At 36.3% G+C, this 13,872-nt stretch overlaps 1 protein-coding gene across 9 annotated transcripts in view; it reads left to right on the top strand.

Moving 5' to 3' along the window:
* NALCN (sodium leak channel, non-selective) overlaps positions 1-13,872 on the top strand; it is a 363,404-nt gene that overhangs the window by 68,287 nt on the left and 281,245 nt on the right. For 8 of the 9 annotated variants that reach the window (XM_011521069.3, XM_011521067.3, XM_024449336.2 and 5 more), the window contains exon 7: positions 3,473-3,627. In XM_011521069.3, the coding sequence (XP_011519371.1) occupies positions 3,473-3,627 (155 nt within the window). Of the gene's footprint in view, positions 1-823; positions 1,406-3,472; positions 3,628-13,872 lie in introns of those variants that run through there. The other variant, XM_017020536.3, reaches the window with a different exon arrangement.

Genomic DNA, 13,872 nt, shown 5'->3' with positions numbered 1-13,872 from the left:
CTTGACATTCATTTCAATTTTTAAAAACAGTAATTACCTTGTGGTTTTAGATACATGTGTTCCAGGGCAATTAATCTTCTAATAAATGTGTTTCTAATAAACATTTGCTAATAACTTGATGTTGGTAAAAATGTTTCAAGCCTGCTGCCTCTGAAGCCAAAGACTTCAAAATAATATCTAGTGAGAGTTGTGCTTAAAATGAGTATCAGCACTAATATGAAAGAAAAAGCAAATATAATAGGAAGAAAAAAGGAAAAAATACTCTAATATTTATAAATTAATTTAAAAAATCATAATCATTAACAGTTGAGTGATTAACTTATTTTTGGCACCATTCTGAGTGTTGCACATTATCTAATTTAATCATTAAAATGCCCCTACAAAGAATGCAATAACTATCCTCATTTTGGAAGTGGGATAACTGAGGCTATACACACAGGGCTGGAGTTTCAATCTAGGAAATCTACAACTTTCAAACTGTCAATAACAGTAGGTAACATCTAGCATTGATTGTCTATCAAGTACCTGTTTTATACAATTTACAGATGTAAATACTTACGTCTCACCCCAGGCTTATGAGGTAGACGTTTTCACACCATTATGGATTGGAAAACTAAAGCATGCTTAAGTCACACATGTAATAAGTAGGTCAGAACTCACAGCCAAGAAGATTGGCTCCAAAGTCCAATTTCTTCTCCAAATATCTGAAATGTGATTTTTTTGGAAACTTTTTCATGTAGACAGAGTGTTATCTTAGACATTTCTGCTATTGTATTTTTAAAAGTATTTGGAATTAAAAATATATGTAATTTTGATGGGCTAGTAGACCCTTCCCTCTCTGAACTTCACCTTGCCTTCAAGAGTAAATGAAGAACTAGGTGATCCATATAGTATCTCTTAGCTGCATAGTTCTATGAACATGCTAAAGTTTCTTCTCCTCTTTTAACAAGTCTTTATTGTTCTGTTTTTACATGCTGGGATTTATGCTACATTGTATTATTGTAATGATTAATAATCATTTAGATCAAGCATTATTTGAGTACAGTACTTGCAACACATTAGGTGCTATGCAAAGTGCATTACTTGGTTTACTTTACTTAACCCTCACATGAGCTTTGCTTTTAATTATGATTACTCTCTCTACCTTACAGATGAGGAAGCTGAGCTTAGAGGCCCTTAGAGCCTTATTTAAGTCACACAACCAGTAAATGGCAGAGCTGGGATCAAACCCAGAAAGCCTCACTCTGAAACTCAGAAGCCCAGTCTCCTTACCATCTTACTGTTATATTGTAGGTACCAAATCATTGATGACAAGCATCGTTGATGAGGTTCATAGTATTTGTACCACACATTCTGAAACAGAGTCAGATCAGACTGAAGCAAAGATGAATCATTTGGCCTACATGTAAGAATGAGAAATGGGGAGATATACACGATGTGTCTGTCTAAAATAATATCTTTCTGACCCACCCAATTGTGGTAATTTCCACAATTAGAGCCTTTCCCTTGGGTTTTACAGATGGGGTCCAAAGGACCAGCTTAAAATATGACTAGAGGGAGCAATGATTTAACCACTTATTTCCTGAGACCAGCAGACAGATGAGCTCATCTGCTGCTGACAAAGGGCAGAACCCTAAAGGAATAGCTTAGGGTGTTTGAATCATGGGTGAAGTTTCTGGAGCTTTGTTTATGGCTGAGAAGTGGGCAAAGTATCACCAGCCATGGGGTGTGTGTGTGTGTGTGTGTGTGTGTAAAACTATGTACGTGTGTGTATGCGTGGTGGCAGCAAATAGCTAAGGGATTGCACAATTAGGTGTCAGACTTTAGAGAAAGCATATTATAAAAGGGATGGAAGCAGCAACTGAACATAAGAAGGTATTAAAGAAAAAGAGTCATCTGGTAAGTCTACCTCAATTTGGTCAGAAACTCACGTGACTGAGGCTGTCTTAGGGTTGTTCTCCATTTAAGAAATTCCTAGAAACATTGATGTAGTGGGAAATTAGTGTAACACAATTATGGATTTAGAAGGCTTCTGAAATCATCAAGCCCAGACTTTGGCGTCTGCTCAATCTGTGTGGGATACCTCAGATAGCAGCTATTTGGGGTCCATTTTTAAGGTCAACCCAGAATGAGAGTCTACAGTCAGCAGTCCTATGTTATCTATACTTGCTGTCAGGAAAGCCATTACATATCTAAATCCTTTATATCAAGTTGATATCCAACCTATTCTTAAGAAGGATAAAAATGGGTTATGTCATTATCCACCTAAAGGATTCTTATATTCCTAGAGCTATCACTAAATCACCTCATAATCTCTCTTTCCTATGGGATACCTTGAGTTCCTTCCATTTCTCCTTATTTGTCTGGTTATTTCTAAACTAGACACCTTCCAACACTCAGAAGGACAAGTATCATTGATGAGTTTCGTAGTATTCGTACTGCAAAGAAAATGATTTTCATCATGCAACATTGCTTAGAAGTGGGGAAGTAAAATGTGTGCCCACAGTGAGACAAGAATTTTGTGAATCACAATGACTCCTCAGACAAGTTAACGTTCTTTGCAAATCTGTAGAAAAATTCCTTCCTTTGCTTATCTGGGTCTCAGTCTGTAATGGCAAAAACCGTAATGGTGATAGTATTCTTATAAAGAGCTATTGTGGGGATGAATCAGATATCATTTGAGAATGTTTAATATGTAATTAATGTTATGAATATCATTTATGGATTATGAATCTTAAAACTATATTCAGATACACATACACAATTTTGCAAATAACATCATATATATATATATATATATATATAGAGAGAGAGAGAGAGAGAGAGAGAGAGAGAAAGTCTCTCAAGGTCTCATATATATATTACCAATTACCACAGTTGGGTGGGCCAGAAAGATATGATTTTAGACAGACACGTCACGTATATCTCCTCATTTCTCATTCTTATATGTAAGCCAAATGATCCATCTTCGCTTCAGTCTTAACTGACTCTATATTTCAAAGTGTGTGGTACAAATATTATTAACCTCATCAACAATGCTTGTCATCAGTGATTTGGTATCTACAACATAAGAGCAAGAAGGTCTCTCAAGGTCTCTCTTTCTCTCTCTCTCCCTCTCTAAATATATATATATATATATATATATATATATATATTCTCTTTGCTGTACTCTTAGATAGATAGATAGATAGATAGATAGATAGATAGATAGATAGAAAGAGCAAAGGTCTCTCAAGGTCTTGCTCTGTTGCCCAGGCTAGAATGCAGTGGCATGATCATAGTTCACTGCAACCTCGAACCCCTGGGCTCAAGGGATTCTCCTGCCTATGCCTCCCAAAGTGCAACGATTACAGGCATGAGCAACCTCACTTGGCCAGATACATAGATATTAATGAAGGGTAATTACATTATTCATTGTAATCAACATTTATGATTGTTGAAATTGTCTAACACTTTCATGTGTTGTTCACAGGAATGTAACCTGGAATAGTTTAGCTATTCCAGACACACACTGCTCACCAGAGCTAGAAGAAGGCTACCAGTGCCCACCTGGATTTAAATGCATGGACCTTGAAGATCTGGGACTTAGCAGGCAAGAGCTGGGCTACAGTGGCTTTAATGAGATAGGTCTGTCTTACTGGTAAAATACGTTTTAAGTTTCTATTTTGTGATGTTTATGAAGTGGACAGAATAATTAAATAATTGATACTAATATTTTGACTGGCTGTAGTATAGAAGAAATACAAATATAAATTTTAATTCTATGCCTATTTTATAATATATTCTACCCGACAGTGCGTAGCATACAAGCTGTGTATGTATATGGGCAGCAGTGTTTGTATGGAGTTACAGATCTCTCATTTTTGACTATTTCGATTCTCAATAACAGCATTTAAGCATTTAAAAATATTTGTTTGTTGAACAGGGTTCTGGGTTGTTGACTCAAAGATAAACAAAATTTGGTTTCCTTTCATATGTAACTATGTAACTATACCCTAATAGGCAAGGTAAGTCTTAAAAACTGTAATACTAGGTATTGATGAGTGCATTAGAGCTGAAAAGTGCTCCTTGATTAGAATACAATTAATGAACTACTTAGTGAATATGCATCAACTAAGTAATAAATGTATGGGAAATGCTTGTGCATGAGAACTATGTGCTCAAATGTGTACATTCTTCTTGGCTTGCCTTATTAAGTCCTAAAATGTGCCATTACATACATAATGAAAGAATTTAGCATCTGCCATTTAGTTGATATCATTGTATTTTTATAATTCCATGCAAGTTGCGCATATTATATTATTAAAGCAAAAAATGTATAATTCCAAACAAGTATTTTATGCCTTGAGAATTGTTATCAGAGTAATTTTTTAAACTAAAATTTCTTCAAGTGTCAGGCCTGCGTGCTAAACCATAAAGTTACAGCTTTTATATAGAATATAGTACTGAACGTGGGCTGATGGTATCTTTTTAAAGTCAGTTTTGCAAATAACATCTCAGGTTTTCATCTTTATGTTTTAGTATTTCCTCATATTTTATTTCAAGCATTATAGTTAGATGGCATTCTTCCATCTCTTTTGACCAGTAATATTGTCTCCTATTTCACAAAAATCCAGAAGCCAACTGATGTGAAGCAATTTCAATTTTCTATACTCTCTTAAACTTATCCAACTTTGTAATTAGTCTTAAATCCTTCCCTCTGTCTCAAAAGTACAGAGGCATCATGAATTATACCAATAACTTTTAGGCATGAGGAAGAAATCACAGATGTGGTATGGGAGGCGAGATGTATATAGGCTGATAGGCTGTGCGGAATAAGCTTCAGGAGTTCCAACAGCTGGGCATGACTAGAATGCATGCCTTATCAGAGTCTGCAGCTCTTTCTTTTAGGGTCTGAGTGTATCCATGTCTTCTATGGAGAGTGGTCACCATTCCAGGGTTAAGGTTGCCCTTACAGAAAATAACCTCCAATTTTTTAAAATCATGTAGCTAAAGCACCTCATACCCTCACCGTTTTTAATGCAACAATTGTACCCAAATTCAAAATGCAGCATTATATTCAAGTTGATTCATCTTTCTTCACTCTGACTTACAATGGCTTTGCTTAATATAGGGTAGAATCTCTTTTTGAGAGAAAAAGTCTCCTTGTACTGTGCTGACTTGAGAGGACCAGTTCTAGGAGGAAATTGCCTTGGAGGCAGTCGCCCCCTACTAAAGCAATTATCTTACTATAGCTGTACTGTTAATTTATCTCCCAAGGATTTAAGCTCCTTGAAAACAGGAAGTGCATCTTTTCGTCTTCAAGTCTCCAGGGCACAGGGCTATGCCTGGCTCACAGGGAGCCCTCCATAAATATTTACTAATAGGCTCAACAAAGCGTATGTCTTTTTAATTCATTGGTAACCAGGCATGTTTGTATGAGGAGGCAGAGCCACAATAGAGAATTTAGTTGTTTTCTTGTTGTTCTTTTGCCTGATTTTGTCTGTTTTTGTTGGCAATATTCATTATTCCTCATGACTCCTTCCTTTCTATACAGGCTTAATTTCATCCGTTTGCTTATTTTTCCCAAATTCATCATCACTGTATGACTAATTGTTAGATAATGAAATGTTGATCTTGTACCATAACCAAAACATTTTTAAATGGTCGTTATAATTTAGATTGAAATTGATAGCTGCTTCCTGATATTATGTATCTCTGTAGATACACAAACTACTATATTTAAAAGTTCTTATGGAAACAAAAGACAATTTTTTGCCCAAAATGAGGAAAATAAAATATTTTATTAGACACATGTGATCATCTCTTCATGCATGCATTTGAATTTAAAACATAATTAGGTGCCTAATTATGCATATGAATTTGGCTAATATACTTGAATATGTAAGTAATTATGGTTAGTTAAAAAGGAGCCCATTTCCTTTTCTTACTAATCAAATTACCATTCAAAACATGAATTTCAATTCACTTATAAAATTTCTGGCAGAAGTAGCTTTATGTCTCATTAAGATTTAACACTGATGATGTTGAAAAATTCAAATTTTAAAATATATTAAAAGCCAGAGTCATGGAGTAGAAAAAATTACAAGGAACCCCTGTTGTAAGATTGAAGAGTAAAGACATCTTTGCCTCTTTGTGTCCCCAAAATCATCCAAATATCAAGAAGATTGAGAAACAGAAATGAAATTTTCATGTTTAAGAACTCTGAAAAGCTGTAACTATAAACCACATCACAGGACTGGGCATCTAACAGAAAACTTCCTGAGAAGATTCTGCCTACTGTGGATCTCAGACAGCACCAGCAGGATAGCAATATTCTAAGATAATGCATGTTCCTGGAGGAACACAACTGTCTCATATTTGAGTCAGGGAATCAGAGCAAAGGCTGATTGTGGAGGCTTACTAGGACCCCATGCAGCATCACAAGGCAGAGGCCCTCATTTCTGCAGGCAGTTGGTGGGGAGATAGAGTGGAGGGGACACAACTGCTTTGTTGCTGCTGATCTGGGTTGGCTAGAATGGGATAAAAGCTAAACGGAAGGTTTTCATGGCCACTATAACTTAGGATGACCTGGGGAACCTTTTAAAACAAACAGATTCTCAAGCACCATCCTCATGTCAATTAAATCACAACCTTAGAGTGATCCAAGGAATAGATGGCTTTTAAAGGCTCTCCAGGTGATTAATTTATGTGCATGCAGAGTTATGAACCATTGGACTAAAGAAATACACACATAGACACACACACACCTGTATTATAAAAACCTTCAATTCCATCTTGATCCATTTTGGTTGTTGTAACAAAATGTCACAGAATCAGTGTCTCATAACCAAGAGAAATTTATTTCTCACAGTTCTAGAGTCTGGGAAGTCCAAGAGCAAGACAGCAGCAGATTTCATGCCTGGTGAAGGCTCACTTCCTGGTTCATAGAATGGCACCTTTTCACTGTGTCCTCACGTAGTAGAAGCAGTAAGGGTTCTCTCTTGAACCTCCTTCATAAGGTTACTAATACCATTAATGTGGGCTCCACCTTCATGATCTAATCACACCCAAAGGTCCTACCTTCTGGTAGCATCACCCCCATGGGGGTTAGAAATTCAACAAATGAATTTGGGGGAAACATCAGCATTCTGTCCATTGCACTATCCTAGAACATTACCCTGTTCCTCCCCAAAGTGAAACAGTGACAGACATCTGGTCTAACAAAAATTTATTTCAAAGATGAGTCATAATTGAAAGAATGAGGACCACATCTATAAAAATGTACTTTGAGGTACTTTTAAAACTGAAAAAAAATCATGATATATAACTCATAAAAGCTTAGTAGGAAACAGAGCACTGAATTACAGATTCGAAGGATGCAGCTTTTCTCAGTAAGTGAACATAGAACAGTCAACACTGAGACACATCTTAGTAAAATTGTTGGAAATCAAAGCTAAAGAAAACATTCATTAGGCATCCAGAAAAAATAAGGTCAAGTTAGCTATAAGGAGGTACATCAGAGAGGCCTGAAACTTCATGTCAATATGGAACTCTAGAATGTAATGGCACAATGCTTACAAATTCTTTAGGGAAAGAATGGGTCAAGCTCTTTCTGAATATTTTTGAAGAGGCAGGAACATAGAGACTATATTTTGCATGAAATCTTCTTGAAAACATTCAGTCAATCAAGAATTTCTTATCATGAGCTAGTCTCTAGTATCTATTTGTTTTAAGAACAAAGCTAATGTAACTGTAGGATTTACAAAATACAATGTAAATATTATAAATTATGAATATCTAGAAGAGATAAGATGAAAACCGGGGGAGATAGTGTGATTATGTTGATATTCTTAACATTCACATTTTAGCAGTTAAAAAAGTAACATTTATACAATATATGAAATGTATAATAGAGATATGTGCATACTTGTCATGAGATGAGAATGCATGATAAACTCAGAAATTACTTTCTTTAGAAATAACTCAAAAATCCAAATAATATTATCTATGACCACGTCCCAAAAAATCATTTCAATATGAGTAATAATATTGGAATCAATTCTTTCTAAATCTTGATAATAGTTCTCAAAAGAAAAGTAACAAACAGTATATTTTTTAACCTCTGAATAGAGTTATGCTATTTGCTGTAGCATGTTTAAAATTATTAGGGGCACATGACTCCTTTGTGGTAAAGTTTGCTTGAAGCACAGTTGTTCAAAAGAATGGCCCTGGGGTTTAGATCATGACTCCACTTTATATTAGTGTGACAGCCTTAGGAAAGTAATTAACTCTCTTGCCTCAATTTCCCCATCTAGGAAATGGGGTAAGTGATAGACCTACCTTATACAGTTAATGTAAAGAGCAACTGAGAAACTACACTTAGAGTACGTGTAGCGTAGAACAAACGCAGAATGAACTAGAAATTGGGATGCACGGGCAAAATATGAATGTATCTCTGTGTTATTTGAGGGAAAATGGTGTAATAATAAGGGAGGGCAGGACATAGATATTTTCACACTCACACACTGCATCTGATATGATTCCCTTTGTTTACAGACATTAACTATGCAGGTTTTCCAGTATCTTATTCAAGGGAGAGGCATTGGGGCAGGGGCACGGTGTTTTTTGTTTGTTTGTTTGTTTGAGATGGAGTCTCGGTCTGTCGCCCAAGCTGGAGTGCAGTGGCACAATTTTGGCTCACTGCAAACTTTGCCTCCTGGGTTCAAGCAATTCTCCTGCCTCTGCCTCCCAGTTAGCTGGGACTACAGGCGCCCATCACCATGCCTGGCTAATTTTTTTGTATTTTTAGTAGAGACGGAGTTTCACCGTGTTAGCCAGGAGGGTCTCGATCTCCTGACCTCGTGATCCACCCGCCTCGGCCTCCAAAAGTGCTGGGATTACAGGCGTGAGCCACTGTACCCGCCGGGGCACGGTGTTCTTAACCTTGCATCTTGCCTATGTTAACTCATATCTCCCATTTCATTTTATTCCAATCAATGACTAGCATTCTAGAAGGCAAGTTTTTGGTGATGTTTGGTCTTTATTCATCAATTATTCCCCTCCCCTCTCACAAATGTCCTGACTTCTGTGCTTGTACCAATCTCTCTAGAATCTGATCAACATTTAGCCCGTGTCATTGAATTTTCTAGTTTGATGAAGCATCATGCATATGTTTAATTTTATTTATTTATCCATATACATTCGAATCTGTGACCCCTGGATTGGAGCCTCTCCCTTTCAGCGCCTTTCAACAGGTGCTCCTTCCACAGAGCCTAAGTAAAGCACCAGCTGGGGCATTGAGCAGAAGGCACAGCCATGCTGTGATGTGCAGGGGCTCCAGCACTAAGTGATTTATTTTCCGACCTCCTCTAATTCCCTGAGCCACGTGACAACTGAGATACTAGTTATTTCTGTCTCTTTCTTCCATTTATGCACCTTTCCATCTTTATTTCTGGATAGCTTTCCTGTGGCTCCTTCCTAAGGACCCCCAACTGACTCATCCCTGCTAAGACATTAGCCCGTGCACTCAAGATATCACACACTCCCCATGTTGCAAGCTTCCTGAGTAGTAGACATAATCTAAAGGACATCTTGCAAAATCGCAAAATTTATTTAGCAGACATTGAGATTCCGTGATTGCAGTATGGGTGGCAAGGTGGGTAGGAATCATACAGTGGTAAGGTTTGGGGATTGACAACATCCTAAAAGCCACACTGTCGAAGTGACACAAAATCACAGCAACTTACCCTATTTAGAAAATGTGTCTTCCCTTTTCTGAATACTTACCCCACTTTCAGTTCCTACTTCCGCTGTTCCCACTTGCTCATAAACATATGAGACATAAAAGCTGAGACATAAAAGAGGCGACACTGTGATTTTCTGTAATAACACTGGAAATGAAATTACAGAAGTTTAGAGCTGGAACAGATAATGCAGTCATACATTTTACCCACACAGGTGGGGATCTGAGAGTCAGAGTGAGTGGGATTAGAATTACAGAGAACTCCGGGCAGAGGCAGGCTGAACTCACTTCTCCAGATTTGCAGATGTCCACCATACTTGCTGTTTCCACCAAACCGTCTTACAACTCAAAATAGTGTTTAAGAAGAAAATTCAAAAACAATTTGCAAAGCTTAGTTTTATTCCTAATTTTCTAGTGGAATGTTAGCATTATTTCCCTTTAGTGAAATGCTGATGGGGAAGACCGTTATCCAAACAGAGGTGATGTGCCAGTTAGAAAGAAAGCAACACAAAATATACCATATATGCGAAATAAATCACAGCAAAAAAACACCATCGAACTGGTGATTCCTTGTCATGACCTTTTAAAAGAAAGTAAAACATTTGGTACAAGAGATGAGAACAAAACTATTCAGGTGGTTATTTGAACCCTTCATTCATTGTACAGTCAGGTAAAAAATAAAAAATGTTCAGTTTGGACTAAACAACTTAATGAATGTCATTGGATGATAAAACTCATCCTGAAAAGTCACTTAGGAAGTAAATCGCTATCATGCATTTTTTATTAGTCTTTAGAATCATCAGAATAAATGACAAAAGCCCATTTTCAAAAAAATCCAGAATAAATGAAATTCAACTGAAACAGCTTATAGCAGAGGAAGCCCACAAGCAAGATAAACTATGAATCAAGACATTCTGAAAATAACTAATAGAAAAGACATACAACATATGCCCTTAACACTACACGAGCTGTATATGGTGGATCACTTTGCCTGTTCTATATATTCAAAAGTCGAAGGTAAAGCCAGGAAATAATAAACACTGTATTCTTATGGTGACTAATTGTCCATCAGACAGTCGTTACTTTTGTAATTACTGTCATTACTTAGGACAACTGTTGGTATCATTTATCGATTGCATATTATGTGCCTGGCACCAGTGAAAAGGTTTTGCATCCATTGTGTTTTTAATCCTCAAAATCAGCCCATGGGGTATCATTATCCCTCAGCTGATGAGTGGGGAGAATGAGATAAGCAAGAATGAACTCTCCCAGAGCCTCTTACCAGCCGCATTTGGAAGCCATGTCTTGCTGCCCCGTGTGCTGAGGCTGAAGCCTGTGCTCTTGATCTACAAACTACTACGTTACCAGAGTAGCCAGCCATGAGTAACCTTCATTCCTGTGGCTTGTCAGGACACCTGGTCCATTATAAAGTCTCATTATGATGATGGAAGAAACACATCTTCCAAAAGAGTGACCTGCCATAGTGGCATATCCTGCAACATGGTGACCTCCCTCTTGTCCTGAAGTCTTTAGACAAGTCTTAGAAAAAAGAATAAATGTGGGCTGGGCGTGGTGGCTCAAGCCTGTAATCCAAGCACTTTGGGAGGCTGAGGCAGGCAGATCACCTGAGGTCAGGAATTCAAGACCAGCCTGGGCAACATAGTGAAATCCTGTCTCTACAGAAATACAAAAATTAGCTGGGCATGATGGCGGGTGCCAGTAATCCCAGCTACTCGGGAGGCTGAGGCAGGAGAATCGCTTGAATCTGGGAGGCAGAGGTTACAGTAAGCCGAGATTGAGCCACTGAACTCCAGCCTGGGCAACAGAGCAAGACTCTGTCTCAAAAAATAAATAAATAAATAAATAAATAAATAAATAAATAAATAAATAATAAAGAGTAAATGTGAAGGAATGTGACGTCCACTGCAAACTGATGGCCCCTTAAGGGGTTGGTCTCTGGCTTTAAGTCTAGTCCCTTGTATTCTGTATTCTGTGAGACAGAGAGTTGGTGCATAATATATGTTAGTTGAATGAAAGAATATAAATATTAAACAATGTACCTGGGAGGCAATGCAGTTTTATAAGCTACTGAGCTGTAAACATCTGGGCAAGGATTAGAGATAATGCCAGAAAAAATTAGTAAATACTACTTTTGATGTAAAATTAGGTGGTAGACACATCATGGCTAGAGATGTGGGAGAGAACTTAGCAAGCAAAAGAAAATATGCTATTTGGTATATTTTAGTAAGTTTTGTGTGTATTTGAACTAAATTCAAAATGCCGTGATAAGGCATGTGTTTGCTATATGTAATGTATAGCTACATGCATTAATTTCTGTTGTGTATTTGAATTTACTTTCTTTGAGATATGAATATTTAAATTTGCTTTCTAAATTATCACAAATTAACCAACAAATTTATACAAGGTGATTTTGGAAATCCACATTAATTAATTTCTTTATTAGAATGTGACATAAACAGTATTTACCTTATTAGTTTTCTTTACGAAAAAATTATAAAGCTTTTCTATATATATCCTCCTTAAAATATTAGATAAGAAAACTACAAGTCGTCAGCTCCACAGGAGTTAACATGTGGATTTTGGATGCTAAGAACAAATTTAAGATGATGACTTGTAATCTTCATGAATTGCTTTTGGCAACAATAAATTAATTGGGCCTTTCAAGAAAATGCAGAAAACTAAGGTAAAGGGTGATTGAGTCTTCCAGATTTCCTATATTCCCAACTCACTTCTGAAGAACGTAATTATGAGTATTGAAATTTGGGACTGGTATTTTTTACAAGAAGAAATATACTGTAGCTGTTATTTACTTTTGTGGTATTTTTCTTCTTTGAATTTGGGTAGTATTGACTATAAGCTATGGACTCAGCTCCCTGTGTGGGTCATAAATCAGTTTTATTAAATATTGATTTAGAAATATCAGTTATTATTTTCATCACTGGTGGAGTTCTGTGCTTCGGACTACCCCTGTATCTTGCTGAAATAGGATTGACAATGGATCCACTTACACGGGTCCAGTGTTTTAGTTTTAACACAGGATTTGCTTGACTTTGAAATAACTTTCTATATCTTTTTCTATTAGTATTCTATTATTTTTATAATTTGCCTCTTATTACATCTGATGTTAAATATGGACATAAAATATGATGAAAGAAAATTACTTTTATTCAAATTATAATGGGATGTAAATTGAATTTTGTTGATGCTGCTGCTAAAAATTGATTCATCAGAGTTAAATGATATTAAAGCATATTTCATGCTACCATATGTGATATCAGATGAGAACTTTACAAATAAATAGAAAACAGAAAGTTATATATCTACAACCATGATTTATTACAGAACGTATATTTTTACTGCAGTCATAAAAGAAAAAGCCCAGTAAAGACTAATTTGTAAAATATGTAATTGAGATTTATAATGCTTTCAAAAAAAAAAAAGCACCAAGGGGTTTTTCTGATGCATTTATCTTGATGTTTACTGTTGCCATAGGAATTACTTATTGATTTTTATGAAAACACATATGGAAGAGAGAACTAAGGCAATAGAATTCAACTAAAAGGGCTTCATCTATGATAATTCTGTTTGCTCTGATAAAAATTCCTTTATCATGGAACAAGGAAAACCTGACATATTTTTGTTGAGTCGAGGACAAGATCAAGAAACATCCTATGAGGAATATTTGTGAAAACTCTTAGCCAAATGCAAGGAGTTTTATCCTTGTATCTTGAATCATAAGTGCCCCTAGGTTACATGAAATGTGTGCTTGAGGATTTTTAAAGGGACTGTCTTTAGGTTTCTCAGGTTCTCAAATAGGGCCACAGACTTACTTAAACTGAAATTAGGTGTCCAGATATTCTTCAGAATGTTAGGAAGAAAGGAGTTTAAAGGCAGAAATTGCAGGCATGACTTTTTAAAAATAAGGTTGTCCATTGTCTGCTGAAAGATGTTTAGGAGTTCTTGTTGAATGGATGAGAAAAGATAGTGACTAGAGGAGTTTTTCATCAGACAGTGAAAGGAAATTTTAAAAGTAAATTTTGGAGAGCATAAAGTGATGATTTATTTCATGTTATATGTAGAAGACAGTGTTCATTGGAAATATCTAGTGGATTCCAAGAAATTAGCAT

Source organism: Homo sapiens, chromosome 13 (genome assembly GCF_000001405.40).
Source record: "Homo sapiens chromosome 13, GRCh38.p14 Primary Assembly".
NCBI lineage: Eukaryota > Metazoa > Chordata > Mammalia > Primates > Hominidae > Homo > Homo sapiens.
The sequence above is the reverse complement of the archived record's forward strand: the minus strand, read 5'-3'. Positions and strand labels throughout refer to the sequence as shown.